Source organism: Homo sapiens, chromosome 11 (genome assembly GCF_000001405.40).
Source record: "Homo sapiens chromosome 11, GRCh38.p14 Primary Assembly".
Classification (NCBI taxonomy): domain Eukaryota; kingdom Metazoa; phylum Chordata; class Mammalia; order Primates; family Hominidae; genus Homo; species Homo sapiens.
The window spans coordinates 73,461,266-73,482,485 of NC_000011.10; the positions used below are offsets into that span (position 1 = coordinate 73,461,266).

General features: G+C 38.9%; 1 protein-coding gene across 5 annotated transcripts in view; it reads right to left on the minus strand.

Moving 5' to 3' along the window:
* The window catches only part of FAM168A (family with sequence similarity 168 member A), a 197,626-nt gene that overhangs the window by 60,779 nt on the left and 115,627 nt on the right, over positions 1-21,220 (minus strand). For all 5 annotated transcript variants that reach the window (NM_001286051.2, NM_015159.3, NM_001286050.2 and 2 more), the window contains one exon: positions 7,140-7,227. In NM_001286051.2, coding sequence (NP_001272980.1) covers positions 7,140-7,209 — 70 coding nt within the window. In that variant the 5' untranslated portion in view covers positions 7,210-7,227. Of the gene's footprint in view, positions 1-7,139; positions 7,228-21,220 lie in introns of those variants that run through there.

The following is a 21,220-nucleotide window of genomic DNA, read 5'->3' on the forward strand; positions in this document are numbered from 1 at the left end:
GCCACCACACCCAGCTAATTTTTACATTTTTTTATAGAGATGAGGTCTCGCCATGTTGCTCAGGCTGGTCTCAAACTCCTGGCCTCAAGAGATCCTCCCCCATCAGCCTCTTAAAGTGCTGGGATTACAGGTATGAGCCACGGCACATGGCCCACTGTGAATCTTAAGTGCTTTCCTTAGGCACTTATTAGACCTCAGGTTTCTCATCTAAGAACAGGGTTGGATTTGATGGTCTCTAATCATCTTATAATTCTAAATAAAAACATAATACCAGCCACCAGATGGACTGAGAATATAGATAAATAGGATGAGCAGGAGATGGGCTGGAGATACCTGAATGGTAAGGTCATAAAAACTTTCTATTGCAAGCTAAGAAGTTTGGACTTTATCCAAAGGACAGTGAAGAGTCATTGAAGGGTTTTAAGCATTGGAGTGATGTCAAATTTTCAAGAGAGAAAAACGATTATGGCTATGTTATGTAAAGAACAGACTGGGGACAGGGGTATATGAAAGGAGTTAGGAAGTCCAGTTAAGAGGCAACTTAATCCCAGAAAGAGTAATAATGACCTGAATGATAACAGTGGAAAGATAGGGAAGAAAAGTCTAATCTAAGAAAGGTAAAGGAGGTTTTTTAAAAATAAAAAGAACATTTCATATCCATTATGATGGCTATTATTTAAAGAGAGAGAGAGAGAGAAAACAAACATTGGCGAAGCTGTGCAGAAACTGAAACTTTTATAAACCACAAGGGAGTATGTAAAATGCTGCAGCCACTAGGAAAACAGTATGGCAGTTCCTCAAAAAATTAAAAATAGAATTACTGTATGACCCAGCAATTCCACTTCTGGATATATACCCAAAAGAATTGAAAGCAAGGTCTTCAAGAGATATTTGTACATCCATGTTCATAGCAGCATTATTTACAATAGACCAAAAGCAGAAGCAACCCAAGTGTCCACATACCACTGCATGCGGCATATACATAAAACAGAATATTATTATTCAGCCTAAAAAGGAAGGAAATCCTGACACACGGATGAAACCTGAGGTCATTAGGCTGAGTGAAATAAGCCAGTCACACAAGGACAAATACTGTATGATTTCATTTATATGAGCATCTAGACTAGTCAAATTCATAAAGATAATAAGTAGGTTGGTGATTGCCAGGAGCTGGGGGGGAGGGTGAAATGAAGAGTTATTGTTTAATGGATATTGAGTGTCAGTTTTGCAAGACGAAAGGAGTTCTGTGAATCAATAGTGACGACAGTTGCAAAACAATATGAATGTACTTAATGCCACTAAATAGTACACACAAAAATGGTTAAGATGGCTGAGAGCGGTGGCTCATACCTGTAGTCCCAGCACTTTGTGAGGCCAAGGCAAGTGGTTCACCTGAGGTCAGGAGCTCCAGACCAGCCTGGCCAACACGGTGAAACCCCGTCTCTACCAAAAATACAAAAAGTAGCCAGGCATAGTGGTACGTGCCAGCTAAGAAGGCTGAGGCAGGAGAATTGCTTGAACCTGGGAGGCGGAGGTTGCAGTGAGCCAAGATCGCACCACTGCAATCTCTGGGCTATAGAGAGAGACTCCAAGTCAGAAGAAAAGAGAAGAGAAGAGAGGAGAGGAGAAGAGAAGAGAAGAGAGGAGAGGAGAAGAGAAGAGAAAAGAGAAGAGAAGAGGTTAAGATAGCAAATTTTAAAAAAATTATTTATTTATTTTTTGAGAGACAGTCTCACTCTGTTGCCCAGGCTGGAGTGCGGTGGCATGATCTTGGCTCACTGCAACCTCCACCTCCCAGGTTCCAGCGATTCTCATGCCTCAGCCTCCAAAGTAGCTGGGATTACAGGTGTGCGCCACCACATCTGGTTATTTTTTGTATTTTTAGTAGAGACGGGGTTTTGCTTTGTTGCCCAGGCTGGTCTGGAACTCTTGGTCAAGTGATCCACCTGCATCAGTCCCCCAAAGTGCTGTCATTATAGGTGTGAGCCACCGCGCCCAGCCAAGATAGTACATGTGTTTTACTGCAATCTTTTTTAAAAAGGCAGGACTTAATAACTGGCTTTAGAAGGCAAAAGAGGCAAGAGTATCAAGGATGATGTTTTCTGATTTTAGGAATAGGCAGATAGTGGTATTAATCACAAAATGATAAAAAATGGGTTACAGGGGAATGATAAGATAATGAGCTCAGTTTTAGACATAATAAGTCTGAGCAAAGCATGAGACATTCATGGAGGAGATGTTCAGGAGACGGCTGGATAAACTAGTCTGAAGCTCAGAAGAATGGTTTGCCACAGCCCTAGAGTTTATGAATCATCAGCCTATAGACAGCAGCTGAGGCTAAGGGAGAAACGGAGCCCTTGTGAAACATCAACTTTTAATGGATGAGCAGGGGAAGAAAATTCTGAAAGGAGACAAATTCAGGAACAGCTGGAGAAGAAGAAAGGGAAAACAAACAAAAATAAACAATTATGGTCAATGAAAATTATGGAGGCAATGAAAGCTTGCTTCAAGAAAGGGGTCAGGTGTCAAATGATATAGAAGAGTCAAATTAGGATAAAGGCTAAAAAGGGTCCACAAGGAGATTATATTCATGAGAACAGTTAATAAGAATTCTCTTTAGATGCTCTTCTTCAACCATAGGTGAAAAAGTAATTAAGTGACCTTGGAGTTCTCTCCTGAGGAGAGGAGATCAGTTTGAACATCAAAGGGGGAGTTGTGAGAACAGTTTCAGAAATTAAAATCCATTTTCCAGGCTCATCTGAGATCCTAATCACTGTACCGTCCAAGACATAGCCATGTATGCTAGAGCCCTAAAAGCACCTACTTTGTAACTGGGGTTAGTTTGGCCTCTGCTATACAGTGTGACCTTAGAGAAGCTTAATTTCATCTGGAAAATAAAAACTATCTTCCAGAATTGTTATTAAAAAAAAAAAAAACACATACGAAGGGAAAAATCCCACAAAAGTTCTTTGCAAAGAATAAACAAAGTACAAATGTCAGTTAATCAAAACCTCCAACAGGTGATCCTTACAAAGTTTTAAGCAAAAACAGCAATCTGGGGGTGGGGGGGAAAACAAACACTGGTTTAAAAAAAAAAAAAAAGATGGTAGTCTTTGAACAGATTAATTTCCTAGCCTTCTAACCTTGAGAGTTGTATCTTTTGTTACTGTATTTGTAGCATTTAGACCTATGTTTTCTACTGGCTGAAGCCAGGATATTCATTAAAGGTCAACACAGGAGGAGTCAGAAAGAGCTCTTGAACTGGAGTGGGCTAGCAGAGGAATGTGAAGTGGCCACAACGGAATGAAGAGAAGGGAGAACACTTGTTATTCTGTGGTAGAGAGACAATGAATACACAGACCCAGATGGGGAGACATGGGTTCCAGACTCAACCCCAACACTTTCTTCAAAACACTTCTTATACTCCATCTTTTCACCTATAAAATGATGGATTCATTTAAGGGCTTCATCTGTTCTCCCGTTTTAGAATTATTTTCTAATTGTGTTTTGGAAACTTCATCACAAGTCAGTGGCTAGCCCTGTTACATTTATTACTCTCAGCTGTCGTGTGAGGAAGGCATTCCTAACCCTGTTTTATCATTTTTTTTTTTTAAAACAAATGATAGATTGAGGCCCAGAAAGCTTGATAACTTATCTGATGTCATATAGCTCTTAAGTGGCAGAATAGGGTCTGTAATCTAAGTCACTAACTGTATGTCCCATGCTCTTTTCCCTGTAGGTGTATACTCATTGCTATGCATTACAACAACCATTAATTGAGTGTCCACTATGAGCCAGGCACGACACGAGAAGCTTTATAAACATTTTCACCGACTACAAACCAACCATCTGTATAGGTCATTATTCCATTTTACAGTCAAGGAAACTGAGATGCAGAAAGATTACTCAACCAAAGTTCCATAGCTAATTAGTGACAGAGACCAGATTTCAGCAGAGATCTGACACACTCCAGAACACATACTAGATAGACCCCTGGGTGATGCTTGGACACTGACACAATCAGAACATTTTAGAAAAGAAAAGATGAGAAGAATGTTGAGGTCTTGACTACACTCCAAAATTCTAACAGAAAAACCTTTATGAAGCTTTTGGAAAAAGAAATGCCCTGGTCTATAAACAGCCCACTGTCATGGTGAATCTAGGTAAAGGGTATTCAAGTGTTCACTGCACTCATTATCTGTCCTAGTCAGCTTGAGCTGTCATAACAAAATACCAGACTGGGTGGCTTAAACAACAGACATTTATTTCTCATAGCTCTGGAGGGTAGAAGTCCAAGATTAGGGTGCCAGCATGGTCATGCTGTGTTGTTACACAGCAGAAAGAGCTCTGGTGTCTCTTCTTCTAAGGGAACTAATTCCATCATGAAGGTTCAATCCTCATGACCTCATCTAAACCTACAACGGTTCAATCTCCAATTACCATCCCATTGGGGATTAAGGGTTTCAACATACAGATTTTGGAGGGACACAAACATTCAGTTCATAGTATATAGTCTATGCTTAAACATTTGAAAGTATATGGCATATTACATTCTCTAAATTCACTCTGCCAAAATATATAAGGAACTAGTTATAACCACATTATAGATTGCTGCAAGTGTAAAAATAGGTATTTTCTGTAAAATACTGAGCTCAGGTTTTGTCACACAGTAAGTACTCGGTAAAGGGGCTTTAAAAGGGAGAGAGAGAGAGAGAGAGAGAAAGAACACTGTCAATTGGCTAGAAGACAGCTGCTTACTGGAATACTGCACCACAAAACTATATTTTATTTCCCATCTTCAGACTTCAAGAGAATTTCAAACCAGGAGTGTTTCCAACTCCTCTGTTCCCTGCAGCCACCATCCCATTTCCTCTGAAGCAGATGACAGTACAATGGACTTGACCCCCTGTACTTTTGCCCTCCTGAGGCTACCCCAAAATGCTGGCCAGGAACAGGATTCTAGCTCCTCAAAGGGAAGCTTTCCTAGCCCTAGAAATGGAAAAGACAATCCTCATCTTTAGTTTATCATGGGGAAGAGAGAAAGCAGCACATATTTTAAGACAGATTAGCTTACTGTAACAGAAAGCACATATACTTTGAAACCACAAAGAACTGAGTTCAAATATTTTCTCATCCCTTAGAAGCTATATACATTAGTCAAGTCACATGACCTGAATTAAACTACCATAGTTTTTTTATCTATAAAAACTATAGCATTTATGATTAATGAAATTATAATTAATATATAGTACCTAGTATGTTCTTACCAAATGATAATAATTTTAACATAACCATATAAATGCTTACTGTAATGCAATATATTTGGCATTTGTTTATAAATTATCTTTACTTAGATCTTCCATCTCCAGTAATACAGAAGAAAAATAACCTGAAAATCTGCCTACTGCATAATACCTAGAAAAGCTGGTTATGAAGTATAACAAACATTGTATTACGTAGAGTTGAGATTTTAAGAAAGAAAAAGAAATCCCTATTACTCAAAAAATGAAGAGGAAACTAAAAATCAGGAAGTCTATGTAGTAAGCTGATATTGGGATGCTTTGGGGAGATTTTTTAGTCTAGGCACTCAAAGGGCTTGCTTTTTACAGCCACCAGGGGTAGGAGATAGGCTGTGGGCCCTGGAACAGCCAAGAGCTGCAACTCAAATTCCCCTACATAAAGTTGGGACCTTGGAGGAGTCATAGTGTCAGTTAAAAAAAGAAAAAAAAAATCCAAAAGTACAGAGATTCAACAGCCAAGGTTGGGTTAAAAAATAAAAGTCTCCCTACAAATTTGAAACTTTGGCCTGTATGAAGTCTGAATTTATACTACTTATGTGGAGTTTATACTATCTGTGTGGTCCTAGAATCTACAGCAGGGAATTAACTTAAAACAGTTCCAGGCTCATAATATTCCTTGGTGATTAATAGAGACAAAAAAAGATCCTCCTTTCCTCTAGAGGAGTACAAATTATCTTGTTTGATTCTCACAACTGTCCTATGAAATGGATAATATTTTGTCCCATTCCCAGAATTATCTAGTATGAAATAGATAATATTATCCCAGTTCATCACAGAAATTAAGTCTGGGGAGGTTAGGGCAAGTTGTCCAAAGTCACTCAGCTATTCTCTGACAGAGCTGGGATTTGAACCTGGTTGTTGTCCAGTCAGTCAAAACACATTACCGAGTCCTACTATGTGCCAAGCAGAGATAAAGTCTGTTCCCTTTCCAATTTTGGAAATTTGGAAAATTTGACAAAGTCAATTCCCCTTCCAGATTTACAATGTTTAAATCTTGATGCAAATCAATAGATAAATGCAACTGTTCTCTTCCTTCTCTAGTTTAGCAACTTAGTAAGAACGAAGGCAGCCAGGATCAAAGCAAATAGGAAACCAAAGCCCCACAGGGTTCCCTTGGGCTCCGTCTGCCAAAGCAGTTCAGTTCCCTCTGGCAGAGGAACTTAAGTTGCTGGAACACTCTGAACTGGAAAGGGGAAAAGCAACAAGCTCCATGAGCTAGTAGGGTATAGGGTACTGCCCCATGAGTCCTGGTTACTGGAAATTAATTTTGTTAGAATAAATATACAAATACAAATTCAAACAGAAAATATTTACTGTTAATTTAAGTAATAAGGACAATGAAACTGTTGTGATAAACACAAACATGGGAAATAGAAAGTTAGTGATAACAGTTACAGTTATATCAGGCTGAAACTCCAATATATTTCTGAATGTTAATTTGGTTGCATAGCATTGAGAAAATCCTGATTTAAAAACATAAGCAGATATAAATGGTAGCATTTTTTAAAAAAATTAACAGGCATTCTTAGAAGCTTAACACACTGATCATCTAACACGTATTCATGTTTTATAAAAATAGTTCTCAATATTTTAAAATAATCAAATCAAATGTTTGCAGACTCTCTAAAACACTCTCCTGGTATTATTGTAGAACAAAGTTGGGAAACAACCACACAACAGGTTCTCTGAGATCTTTCCGCTGGACCTCAGACATATCTTCTGCATGTTCCCAAACTTTCCCAAGACTTTTGGAGGTATACGTTAGGAGGAGGAGCAAGTTATTTGGTAATATCCTTAACCACCATTTCTCAAAATGAGAGCCATTCTCACACTACTCACCCGTGTAGGCCATGTTCTTAGGGTTGCCATAAGGAGCCCCAGGCTGCACGGGGCTGTAAACAGGGTTCATTGTGGAAGACTGAGGATCCTACAGAGAAAACAAAGAAAACAGCACTGATATTGATTGTTCATTCTTCCTGACATCAGCTTCTCCTCCATAATCTTCAGTTTTCCCTGAAAGGAAAGCATCAGGGTGTAGTGGAAAGAAGACTAAACAAAAAAGCCAATTTGCTTGTAGTTGGCCCTATGTTAAATACTTTCCCCATTTGACAGATGAAGATAGTAAGGAGCAAGGAAGTAATATAACTTGCCTAATGTCAACCTAGGCATTTTGGCTCTCAGCTCAGTGTTAGTCCCACTATCCCACAGACAGCTCTGGCACTAGAGTACTATGTGGCATTGGCCATGTCACTTCCCCTGTCTGGACTTCAATGTCCTGATATAAAATGAATTAGTTTAAGATCTCTGAGGTCCTTTCTAATTCCAATGTTGTTAGTCTAAGAGTTGGAAAAGGATAAGCTTTCTACGGTTCACTAGAGGAGCTTGGTGTCTGGTGACGAGCAAACAGACTGCTGGAAGGAAAAGCAGTGTCTCATCCGCCCCTTACACCTGCAGAGGACAAGATACCAGTTACCAGCAGCTTTAAAAACAGAAAAGGGAATTTGTTGCCACTGATAATTTTAATGCAAACAAGGAAATATGGCTAGGATTTCTCTCCAAATTTATTCAAGGGAAAGAAATAAACTTGGAAATTTGTGTGCAATAAGTATCACCTGCACAAGTGCTCTGTTAATTATCTTAATGAAGCACATTCTCCATTCTGATTAATGGAAAATCTGTCATTAAGCTCTATTAGCCAGCCAATTTGTCCCACCTTGTTTAGGGAGCCTTTCCTTACTATATAGCCTGACACATTTGAAAATGTGTCTCCAAATATATTATTTACACATCATAAAAATCAAACAATTCCTTCCTAACTAGGTTCACAAGATAGATGAGCAATTTTTTAGGTCATTAACTTCTCTTGTATCACTTCAAAATAGGAAACAAGTCAAATGTTGAAGGCAGGCAGTGAACAGCTGGCATGATGACAACTGCTCTGTGATTAGTCTGTCTAGGGTTCAAAAATGAGATGTGGAGAAAAGGTGGGCTAACAAGGAGAGGAAGCTGGGACCATCAGATAAGCAAAACGGAAAATGCCATTGGCCAATTTCAGAGGACAGAATGTCCTAAAACATACGTAATGTGTAGCCCTGGCAAACTACCCCAGGGCAACGAGCTAGATAAAATTACCATCAGCCAACAAACTGAAACTAGAACAACTTGAAGATGAAAGTTAAAGGAGTTATATATATATTTCAGTTAAACTTAAGGGAAAAAAATATTCTCACAGCCAGAGTTATCTAAAAATATACCCAAGTAACATACACTCTCTCTCTAAATAAAAGCACTCTCCTCGCAGAGTATTGAGACATTAATAATGAAAAGAGATCATAGATTTTTTGTTTTTGTTTTTGTTTTTTTTGAGACGGAGTCTCACTCTGTTGCCTAGCCTGGAGAGCAGTGGGGTGATCTTGGCTCACTGCAACCTCTGCCTCCTGGGTTCAAGCGATTCTCCAGCCTCAGCCTCCCGAGTAGCTGGGACTACAGGCACGTGCCACCATGCCTGGCTAATTTTTTGTATTTTTAGTAGACAGGGGTTTCACCGTGTTAGCCAGGATGGTCTCGAACTCCTGACCTCGTGATCCACCCACCTCAGCCTCCCAAAGTGCTGGGATTACAGTCGTGAGCCACCGCGCCTGGCCGATCATAGATGTTAAAATAAGTTGCAAACTGTCAAGTGACATGCAAATGTAAACAATGATGATGTGGCAATGTTGCTCATGTGACAACAACAACACAGAGACTACTTGTACTCCTTCCAGCTTTGGGTCTCTCTTCTACCCAACCAGTTCTCTGCGTGGTACATCAGGATGAGAAAGACTGATAAAGTGCTGCAGTGGTTTGAATGTTTCCCCCCAGAAAGCACGTGCTGGAAGCTTAATAACCATTTTAACAGTAATTAAGATGTGGGACTGTTAAAAGGTGATTAGGCCATGAGGGATCTGCCCTGATGAATGAGTTAATGCCATTATTACAGGAGTGGGTTTTATCATGGTGGGCGTGGGTTCCTCACAAAAGGATGCGTTTGGCCCCCTCTTGCTCTCTGTCACCCTCTTTTGCCCCTCTCTCTTCCACCATGGGATGACACAGCAAGAAGGCCCTTGACAGATGCTTGTACTCTGATATTGGACTTCCCAGCCTCCAAAACTATAAGCCAATACATTTCCATTCATTATAAATTACCCAGTCTGTGGTATTCTGCTATAGCAGCACAAAAAGGACTAAGACAAGTGCTAAGCAGTACAACTTACCTGTAAACATCTGAGCACTCTCCTACTGAGAAGACACTCTGTGTTGCTGATTGGACAAAGTACAAAATTGCTTTTTATAATCAAAGAAACTCATCAGCTTTGAAACTGGTCTCCTGCTGCTCCAAAATGAGGGCCACTGCCACAGGAGGAGATCATGCCTGGGGTAGATCATGCCTGGGGTAGCACTCCATGATAGCACTCCATCAATTCCAATCTCAATTAATGACTGACAGAAATGAGATCTGCCAGGGTTTCAAACTTTAGAATATGACAGCCACTTCTAGGGAGCTGCTCAAGGGTAGATGGGATTCCCAGCTTCTAAAGGAAGGTTGGCCTTTTATAACAAAATCTATACTGTAAATAGTTTCAGGGACAGGCTAAAAATGAGTAGGAAGATCATAAACTCTACAATCAGGCAGATTTAGGTTCAAATCCTGGATCTGCCACATACCATGATGGGATCACAGGGTAGTCCTTTAACTTCTGAGTCTCTGTTTCCTCTAACCTCAAAATGGGAAAAAAACAAAAAACATAATTTGTAAAAAAAAATTTTTTAATGACAGGTTCATTAAAGTATAATTTCCATATAGTAAAATTTTACCTCTTTTAGGTATATAGTTCTATGAGCCCCTGAAAAACGTATTCAGTTGTACAAACATCACCACAATCAAGATATAAAATATTTTCATTACCCCAAAAAGTTGTCATACATTTGTAGTTAATACCACCAGCCTTCTTCAAAAGCCTTATGAATAAAATCCAAACTCTTTCACAGAGTATACAAGATCCTTGATGCTCTATCTGGGATGGGGCTCAGAAATCTGTGTATTTATGTTCCTAAGGAGATTTTGTTGCCCAGTTTGAGGACCATGCCTTAGCCTTTCTTTCCCAAATGCCATTTCTCTCACATAGGCTGTCTAGAGGAATTGAGATACAGCAGAGAACAAGAACAACAAAAATTTCTGCTTACATGCTAGTTGGGAGGGGGAAGAAAGAGAGATTTTTTTTCAAGTGAAAGATATATCAGATGGCAATAAAAACTGTAAAGCAGGGGTTCCCAAGCCTGGGGCCATGGACCAGCACCAGTCCATTCCATGGCCTGCTAGGAACCAGGCAGCATAGCAGGAGGTGAGCAGCAGGCAAGCAAGCATTACCACCTGAGCTCACCTCCTGTCAGATCCGAGGAGGCGTTAAATTTTCATAGGAGTGTGAACCCTATTGTGAACTGCACATACGAAGGAATCTAGGTTGTGTGCTCCTTGTGAAAATCTAATGCCCCCCTCTCCCCGCCCCATCTCCACACATACCCCTGGTCCCTGGTGCCAAAAAGGTTGGGGACCGCTCCTGTAAAGAAATCCACTCAGGCTGCTTAGGGAGTGCTAAGGGCAGGTTGTTGCAATTTTAAATAAGATGATTCGAAAAAGTGTCATTGAGTGACATCTGAGCAAACACCTGAATAAGTTGAAGGAGCAAGCCATGGAGATCTCTGAGAAGAAACTGTCCAAGTAGAGGAAACAGCAAATACAAATGCCCCCAAAGTAGAAGCATTTTTGAGAAAGAGCTTAGAGGCCAGTTTAGCTGAAGTGGAGTAAATGAAGGGGAAGAATAGCAAGTAAGATCAGACAGGTAATGAAGGCCAAATCATGCAGGGCCTCATAGGCCACTATACAAACTTTGTTTTTATTCTAAATAAGATGGGAAGCCACTGGACTGTTTTACAAAGAAGAGTGAAATTATTTGTCTTCATTTTAAGAAGAGGTAGATTGTTGTGCTGAGATCAGACAGCAGGAAAGCAAGAAGAGTAGTAGGGCAATCGGGAGGTTTTAGAAACAGTTCAGATGAAAGATGATGGTGGTAGTAGCAGTGATGGTGGTGGTGGAAACTAGTCATGTTTTTTATATATTTTGAAGATCAAGCTGATAGGAATTGCTAATGGATTTAATATAAGGTATGAGAGGAAGAAAGACATCAAGAATGATGCCAAGGCTTGAGAAACTGGAATAATAAAAATGCCATTTACTGGTGAGAACTATGAGAGGAGTAGGTTTTGGGTGAAGAACAGAAATCTGGATTTGGACTTAGATTGGAGATGCCTAAGAATTTTGCTCAGAACAATGTTTGATATACAATCAACACCCCATAGAAGGTTAGCCATTAGGACTACCACAAACATTACCTCTTTGGTGGTTCTGTGGAGGTTAAAAAAAAAGGAAAAAAAATAATAAATACTACCCCTACTACCAGCAGCTACCATTTACTGAACACCTACCATGTGACAGGTACTGTGCTAAGGACTTACTAAGTCCCTGTCAGTCTTATAATACTTGCAAACTAAGTATTATTTTTATTATATTACAGATAAGTAAACTTAAGTCCAAAAAAATGAAGTGACTAGCCCAAGATCTCATAACTAAGAAGTAAGGAAAAGCCAATTTCAAAGCCAGGTCTGTTTGATTTCAATGTCCAAGTTACTTTCACTGTACTAGATGAGGCTTCCAGGCTCTCTAGTCAGCTACCCCAGTACTAGGTTCGCCTCTGGAACAGTAGGCCTCAAACCCTTGTTCAACTCAAGAGCCTAAGTGCTCTGCTTGGACCCTAACAGATCACAACAGGGAGGCAGTTCATATCTACCACAGTACCTGGCACCTGCTGGGTCACTGCTGGGCACCATGGGCAGTTATAACTATATGATATGGCCTGATGTGCCTACCTCTCTGGTTGCAACTTCTACCACTATCTTTTTGTTTTCTTCACTTCAATCACAATGACTTCCTTGTTGTTCCCTGAAGACACCATGCATGCTTGTGCCTCTGGGTCTTTGCACTTGCTTTTTCCCCACACCTAGAATGCCCTTTTCCCCAGATATCCAAATGGCACAGCTCCTCACTTAATTCAGGTCTCTGTTCAAATGTCACCTTATCAGAAATGCCTTCCTTAACCAACTTATCTAAAATAGGTCCTCCACATGCTGTTATTCTCTGTTCTCTCATCCTTTCTTACTTTTTTTTTTTTTGAGATGGAGTCTCGCTCTGTTGCCCAGGCTGGAGTGCAGTGGCGCAATCTCGGCTCACTGCAACCTCTGCCTCCCAGGTTCAAGCAATCTGCCTCAGCTTCCCAAGTAGCTGGGATTACTGGCACCCACCACCACACCCAACTAATTTTTGTATTTTTAGTAGAGATGGGGTTTCACCATGTTGGCCAGGCTGGTCTCAAACTCCTGACCTCAAGTGATCCACCCACCTCGACCTCCCAAAGTGCTGAGATTACAGACATGGACCACCGTGCCCGGCTTACTCTTCTTATTGATATCTATTTTAGTCTGTTTTGTGATGCTATAACAGAATAGCTGAGACTAGGTAATTAATAATGAACAGAAATTTATTTCTCACAGTTCTGGAGCATGGGAAGTCCAAGATCAAGGGGACGGCATCTGGCAAGGGCCTTCTTGCTATATCATCCCATGGAAGGGCAAGAGAGAGAATCTATTCCTGAAAGCCTTTTAAAAAAATGATTTTTTTTTTTTAAAGATATGGGGTCTTACTGTGTTGTTCAGGCTGGACTGCAATGTCTATTCACAGGCACAGTTACGGCACACTACAGCTTCAAACTGCTGGGCTCAAGTGATCCTCCTGCCCTAGTCTCCCAAGTAGCTCCCTGAAAGCTGGCTCCTCAAAAGCCTGTTAAACAGACATTAAGCCCACCCCTGAGGACAGGGCCCCCAGAACCTAATTGCCTCTTAAAGGTCCCACCTCCCAATACTATTACATGGGCAATTAATTTTCAACATAAGTTTTATAGAGGACAAACATCCAAACCACTGTAACACCTATTACTGTCTGACATATTTTCTTGTTTATTCTTTCCCCCATTAGAGTAAGGTCCATGAGAATGAGATTCTGTTTATCTTGTATCCCCAGTGCACAGAATATTACCTGGCACAAAACAGGCACCAAATACATATTAGTTGAACAAACAATGAGCCATCTTTCATGCTTCTCCAAAATAAAACTGTGAAAAAAGCTTCAAGATGTTTGGCATTTCTTGGCATATCCCAGTCAACTTCTTGGCTCCCTATCTCTCCAGCAGCTACTTCCAATGCCCAGAGAAGCCTCTACTAGGAGCTCATCTTGGGCAAAATAGGCAATGGTAAGGCCCAGCAGTTGCATGACATGTGAGAGAGAAAAGAGAGGTGCTAAAGATTCCTCCTGGTGAAGCTGATTTTTCACTTCTAGATTCCTACCCACTGTTCTACAAATGGCTTCCTGCTACCCTCAAAACATCTCAACTATTTCTTTCAAAATAACGAAATATATGACCATTAAATGACAAGCAAAAAAGCCCAGAGATTAAAGTAATATTTACACAACAGGTTGCAGTGTTTAAACTTAGTGTTTTAGTTTGCAAACTACTACACTTTGCAAACTAAAATGGTAAAATTCTTTGAAAAATTTACCATTTGAAAAATGGTAAAAATGGTAAATTTTTCAAATAATTTTACCACTTACACAGTGCTTTAGACTTTACAATGAGATTTTAACCATTATCTCACTTGGTCCTTTGAAGTAAGCAATGCAAAGATTATTAATTTCATTTGACAGACCAAGAAACTAAAGCTTAAAGGTTTAATGCCTTCTGGGATAGATACTGTTGGGAAAGGAAAAAGATTGTGTTTGCCCAAAAGAGGATATGGTCTACCTAGGAAAGTTTAAAAGTTAAATAAAAATTAAAATGCCAAAAGTAATAGAAGGAGGTGGAACTTCTGGAACAAAGTGCTTACCAAACCCTTTCCCCCAAAAGCAAAAATAAAATGAGATGAAATGTTAAAAAAAAAACCATTTTGGGCCAAAGTATGAAATGTCTATTCAAGAAAAACTTCTGAACCACATTAAGAACAGTGAAAATCCATGGCATTTTACCCTGGGGCTGCCCTTATCCCAATCCCAAGCTCTGTAGGGGGCCTGCTACTAGGGCAGGCTAGACCAGGCTAAAAGGACTACTGCAACCAGAGTGGGCTGATTTAATTTGAAACTGAGCATAGAAAATCCAATGCCCAGAGTCATTGTCAAAAACAATAGTGAGGCAATTTGGGGAACAACAGCAAATAATCCAGGAAGGCCACTAATGCAGCTACTCTGAGGTCATACTAGTTGGTGCAGGCAACAGACCTGCAGATAAGCCAGAAATTTTAAAGGGAGGTCTGGGGAACACAACAACCATAGTGGGTCTTGATAAACTTTCATAGGATCCCTAGTGGTCTGTAAAGAAGGTCTTCTGTATCTGCTGATCCTGGGTGAATTTAAGGCCTTGGACATAACAAAACTAAAAGTTAGAGCATAACTGTAAATTGCCTGAATTTTGAATGCATTCCCCAAACCACATACAGATCCACTGGTAAAGGGTGGAAGCCTTCCTGGCCTGCGTTTAATCAGAACTCCTGATCAAACATTGGATGGCCACTAATCTATGCCAACCCAGGGGTGACCTTTAGGAAGCCAAGTTTAAAAATTAAAATAGTAATTAAAAAAATATGGCCAGAGACATCAGAAATCACACTGCAAAGGAGACAGACTCTACAGAAGAGTCTAAGCAAGTCACTAAACAAAAAATCCCAGCAACAACAACCTCCTGATGGTGGGGTGGGGGTGGGGTGGGTGGGTGGAATCCGAATCAAGAATTGCTACAATATATTATCTAAAATATGTAGTTTTCAGCAATACTGACAAAATCATGAAACACGCAAAGAAACAATAAAGTATGTCCCATTTGTGGGGGAAAAACAGGTAACAATAAATTTTGTTCTTGCAGGAGTCTAGATATTGGAATCAGCAGATAAATATTTCAAAGCAGCTATTACAAATGTTAAAAAAAAACTAAAGAAAACCACACTTAAAGAATTAAAGTATGATAATAACTTATCAAATAGAGAATATCAATAAAAAATATAAAAATTGAAAGAGTCAAATGGAAATCGTATTCTGAAATGAATCATTCAAGAGAGGCTCAGAAGCAAACGTGAGCTGGCAGAAGAAAGAATCACTGAACTTGAAGACAGAGCAATAGAAGTTATACAATCTGAAAAACAAAAAGAAAACAATGAAGAAAAATAAACTGTGAGAAACTAGCAAGCAAACCAAAATACAAGCATGAGAGTCCCAGAAAGAGGAGAGAAAGAAAATTAGGTGGGAAAAATGGGAATACTATGCCATTAAAAAAATAAAACAAAAAACAAAATCATGTTCTCTGCAGCAACATGGATGCAGCTGGAGGTCATTATCCTAAGCAAATTAACCCAGGAACACAAAACTAAATACCACAGATTCTCACTTATAAGTGGGAGATAAACATTGAGTACACATAGACACAATGATGAGAACAATAGACACTAGGACTTACTTGGGCAGGGAGGGTTGAAGGAGGGTGAAAGTCAAAAAAAAGTCAGGTACTATGCTCGCTACCTGGGTGATGAAATCATTTGTACACCAAATCCCAGTGACACGCAATTTACCCACGTAACAAATCTGCATATGTTACCCCTAAACCTAAAATAAAAGTCAAGGGGGAAGAAAAAGAAATTATACCACAAATTGAAAAAAAAAGAAGATATAATGTCCAAAAACTTCCCAAATTTGATTAAGACAACAACAACAACACATATTAAACTACACATCCAAGAAATACAATCAACTTCAAGTTGGATAAACACAAAAAGATCCATAACCGGACACAATATAGTAAAACTTCTAAAAGTCAAAGAGAAAATTTCAAAAGTGGCAAGAGAAAACAACTTATCTGATAAAAGGGAATAACAATAAGATTAACAGCTGACCGGAGGCCAGAAGACAGGAGGTTGGTATATTCAATGTGCTGAAAAAACAAACAAAAAACCTGTCAACCAAGAATTCTAAATCCAGCAAAACTATCCTTTGAAACTGAAGTCAAAATAAACACATTCCCAGATAAATAATTGAGACAATTCATTGCTAGCAACCTGCCTTTCAAAAAATACTAAAGAAATACTAAATATTTATGACTGAAAGGAAGTGATACTAGACAGTAATTCAAGTCCACACACAAAAATAAAGAGCACCAGGAAAGCTGATATGTAGATAGATAGATAGATAGATAGATAGATAGATAGATAGATAGATAGATAAAACAAGGTATAAATATTTTTCGTGTTAACTGGCTTAAAAGACAATTGCATAAAACAACTATAAAACTGAATTGTTGGCCTTATGATATATAAAGATACCATTTACATAAAAACAAGAGTCCAAAGTAAGGAAGTATGGGAATGCTGCCATATTGGAGCAACATTTCTACATTTTACTGAATTACATTAGTTTGCATCTGAACTAGACTGAAATAAATGCAATAAGTTATAATAAATTAAGATGCATATTTAATCCCCAAAGCAACCAGTGAGAAAATAAATTTTAAAATGTTAAATATCGACAATATCAATAAAAAGGAACAAACTACTGATACATGTCACAACATGAATTAACCTTGAAAATATTATGCTAAGTGGAAGAAGCCAGGGCAAAAGAACACATATTGCATGATTCCATTTATATGAAATGTTCAGAAAAGACAAATCTGTACAGGCAAACAGTAGATTTTTGATCATCTGGGACTCAGAGCAGGAATGGCGATTGACTGCAGATAGAAGCAAGAGATTTCTTTGGTGTGGAAAAAAAGTCTAAAATGATTTTTGGTGGTTACAAAATTCTGTAAATTCACAAAAAAACACTGTACACTTAAAATGAGTACATTTATCATATCTAAATTATACCTCAATAAAGCTACTAAAAATACAAATTGTTGATTCAATAGTTACAAATTTTTAATAAGCTAAAAGAGATTAAGTCATTTACTTCAGCACACTCATTTTATATAAACTGATACTTGCTGTGCCAGGCCATGCATAAAGTGTTACAGATTCAGGGGTAACAAGGCACAATTTCTGTCCCTGGGGTATTTATATGAGGGAAACAGCCTTGGAATTAACAGCAATATAGTACTGTTGTTATACTGAAAGCTAGAATTTAAAGAAAAAAACAACTAAAGTGGGGTGATGGGGGAGCAGGTGGGCAGTGCTGTGACTGCCACTAGATGGCAACATGCTCAGTTAAAGGATTCTATTTCCCAACTTTCCCAGGAATAGTTAGGTGTGGCTATCTGATTAGTTTTGCTCATGAGATGTAACCGAAATACTCTGTAGAACTTCTGAGAAGGCTGCTTAAAGGGAACTCTGTTACCTGGGGAAGGTGCCCTTTCCTCTCCCCTTACTGATTCCTGCTATCTAGAATTAGGACATGATGATTATAGCTCAGCAGGCTTCTTTTCCATGAAGTGACCTTGAGAATGGAGGTCTTAAACTGAGAAAGGTAGAAACAACCTTGATTTCATGGAACAATCATTTCAGCTCTGCTATACATACCTCTGTGCTTCTTTTACATGAGAAAATAAAACTATATTTTAAAACCACTATTATTTTTTATTACTGTTATATGTAGCTGAACCTAATCCTATTTAATTGGGAGGATAATACAGGTTTCAAAAAAAATATGTCATTTGATCTATGTTTTAAAGGATGACAGGAATTCTACAGAGAGAGGAGGAAAGGCCATTTGTGAAATTACACCGTGAGAGGACAAGAAAACATTCAGAAAATATCAAGTAATTTGGGAAGGTTTGAGCATGCAATCTGAGGGAAAACACAGCAGGGATTTTATTCCTGTCCCCATTTCTCAACTGAGTCCACTTAGCTCTTAGAAAAGATCTCAGAAAGCCAGACTGTGCATGGCTACAGGTAATTTTATGATCCCACAGCTCTCTACACTTCTATGTTATAAATACTTCTTGCAACTGTAATTTGCTTGCCCAATTATTTTCTTCTTGCTACATTTTAAGCACCATGAGATCAACAAATTACCTCTTTTATTTACTCTGAATTCCTGGAAAAGGGCCTGATATTAAAGCAAGGTGCTCAATAAACATTTGTTGACTAGATGAATGAATGGATGGATGGATGAATAAAAACAGTTTACTGGAATTCAACAGCTTAATTTCCCTTTAGAAAGTATTTCTTCTTACCAAACAACTTTAAGAAAACTCCATTTCAGTGGTTTTTTTCTTAATTCTATCAATACGATATATAAGAAAGCCATTTTTATAGTAGCTGTCTGCTTCTTCATATTGCTTGCCAAATATAATCAGACAACACATTAGCTTTCTACATTTTATAATACTGTATATAATATTTCATCTCAGAAAATGCTTCAATTTAAAAATGAAATGGAGGAGAACCCTGATTTCTAGGAATCTGCCAGAGAATCTCAATATCTGAAAGGCTTCCACAGTTACCAGAAAGATCTTTCATGCAAAAGCTCAACACCCAGCTTTGTGCGTGCCTGTAAATGAGATGCTCATCTGCAAAATGTCACATTTCAACCACCAGAGCATTCAGCCCATTAAAATACCTTTAAGAAAATGGCTTTTTAGCTAATCAAAACCACAACAAAATTATCTCTACAGCAAATGCTTACAAATAATAGAAAATTTCTCTCTCTCTCTTTTTTTTTTTAAGAACAAATTTCAGAGAACACCTGCCTAAAGAACCCAACTATTCATTAAACCACACAAGTACTCGGACCTTACTATGTGCCAATTCTCTGCCCTTAAAAGAACTCATCTTTTAGTGGGGAAATAGTTGTATTTAAGATTGACTGTAATACAAGGTGCTGCATTAGAACAAAGTGCTTGAAACAGAGAGAGGATGTCATTTTTCTTGGTAGAAGGGTCAAGAAGAGCTTTCACAGTATAGCACTTTTATAGCTTATGAAGAGAGTGCAAGAGTTAACAATGACCATTTTACAAAACAAACAAACAAACAAACAAACAACAACAACAACAAAAACAGAAGTTAAGTGATTTGTTCAAGGTCCCATAGATAGTGGGATGCCAGAAACTCAAACCTGGGTCTACAGACACCAAGTCCAGTGTTCTTTCTATGATATCATGCTGTTTCACAATCCAGATGTATTATCTAAAACGGATGTAATTTTGAAATAGCATTTTTCTGCCTTCACACTCTACAATACAGCAGACTTGATATTTTGAGTTCCCTTGAACATGCCATACTCTCTTGTCTCTGAGTCTTTACACATGCTGTTTTGTTTTTAATACCATCGTTCTCCATCATTTCTGGTTTCTCTCACTCATCTTTCCTAGCTCCTTCCCTCTATCCCTCAGTCTGGATAATTCTTCTTCTTCTTTGAAGATGCAGAGTATCACTATATTGCCCAGGTTGGACTCAAACTCCTAGGCTCAAGTGATCCTCCTGCCTCAGCCTCCCACGTAGCTGGGACTACAGGCACGTGCCACCATGCACAGCTTCTGGATAATTCTTACTCTTCTTTTTAGGGTTCAGTTATGTGCAACTTTCTCTGGGATGTTTCTGTAACATTTATCACACTATAATTGTATCCCATCCCTGACTGTAAACCCCATGAGAGCAGTTTTGTCTTGATCAGACTTTCATCCCTAATACCTAGCACAGTCAGGCACAGAGTACCAGGGTTTCACAACCACATCACACAATGGCTTTAAATTATCACATATCTCTGAAGCAGAATTATAATTTGCTAGAAATGGATTGCTGCAGACAGACTTTCTATAACACCCCCACATATTAAAAATTGTGATCAGGGATTTCTAGAGAGACAATAAATCAGCAATCCTCAGAGTCTCTCTTTAACGGTTACTTACAAGAGGTTACATTTGCAATGCAAATATATAAGCTAAATTTTTATCTCCTTAGTCCAATAAAGGCCTGTGATATAGTATAAAAATATTGGGGCTCCTCTTCAAAAGTACAAACTGCCATATTACCTATCACATGTAGTTAGAGAGAGCTAGCTGGAAGAGGTCTGTGGCATGGCATCTGCTATGGTCTAAATATGTCTCCCAAAATTTATGTGTTGGAAACTTAATCCCAAATGCAACAGTGTTGGGAGATAGAGCCTTCTGGGAGGTCTTCAGGTCATAAAGGCTCTGCCGTCATGAATGGATTAACATCCTTATAAAAGGGTTTGATGGAGGAAGTTCATCCTTTCATAGCCTTTCCACCTAGAGCCATGTGAGGACACAGCATTCCTCCTCTCCTCTGGAGGACACAGCATTCAAGGTGCTGTCTTAGAAACAGAGATGGAACTCTTACCAGACAATGAACTTGCCTTGATCTTGGACCTCCCAGCCTCTAGAATTGTAAGAAATAAATTTCTGTTCTTTATAAATTACCCAGTCTCAGGTGTTTTGTTACAGCAGCACAAAATACACAAAGACAACATCCAACAGCCTTTTTTTTTTTTTTTTTTTTTTTTTAAAGGGGGAGAATACTGAGGCATAGAGAAGGGAAGGGACTACCCTAGAAATGCACAGAAAGTCATGGTTGTGGACAGGGCTCTGAGCAAAACCCAAGCCTCCTGACTTTAGATTGGAGGCTTTCTACCATAAATCATCTTGATACTCTTCTCTGGATGGACAGATGAACAACTGGATAGAAAGACCGACAAATAAATATATAAACTATGTGAAAGCATACTTCCAGGAAAGCCCCTCCCCACCTTTTGCTGGTCATAAGTCTTCCTGGGTATTTTAGAT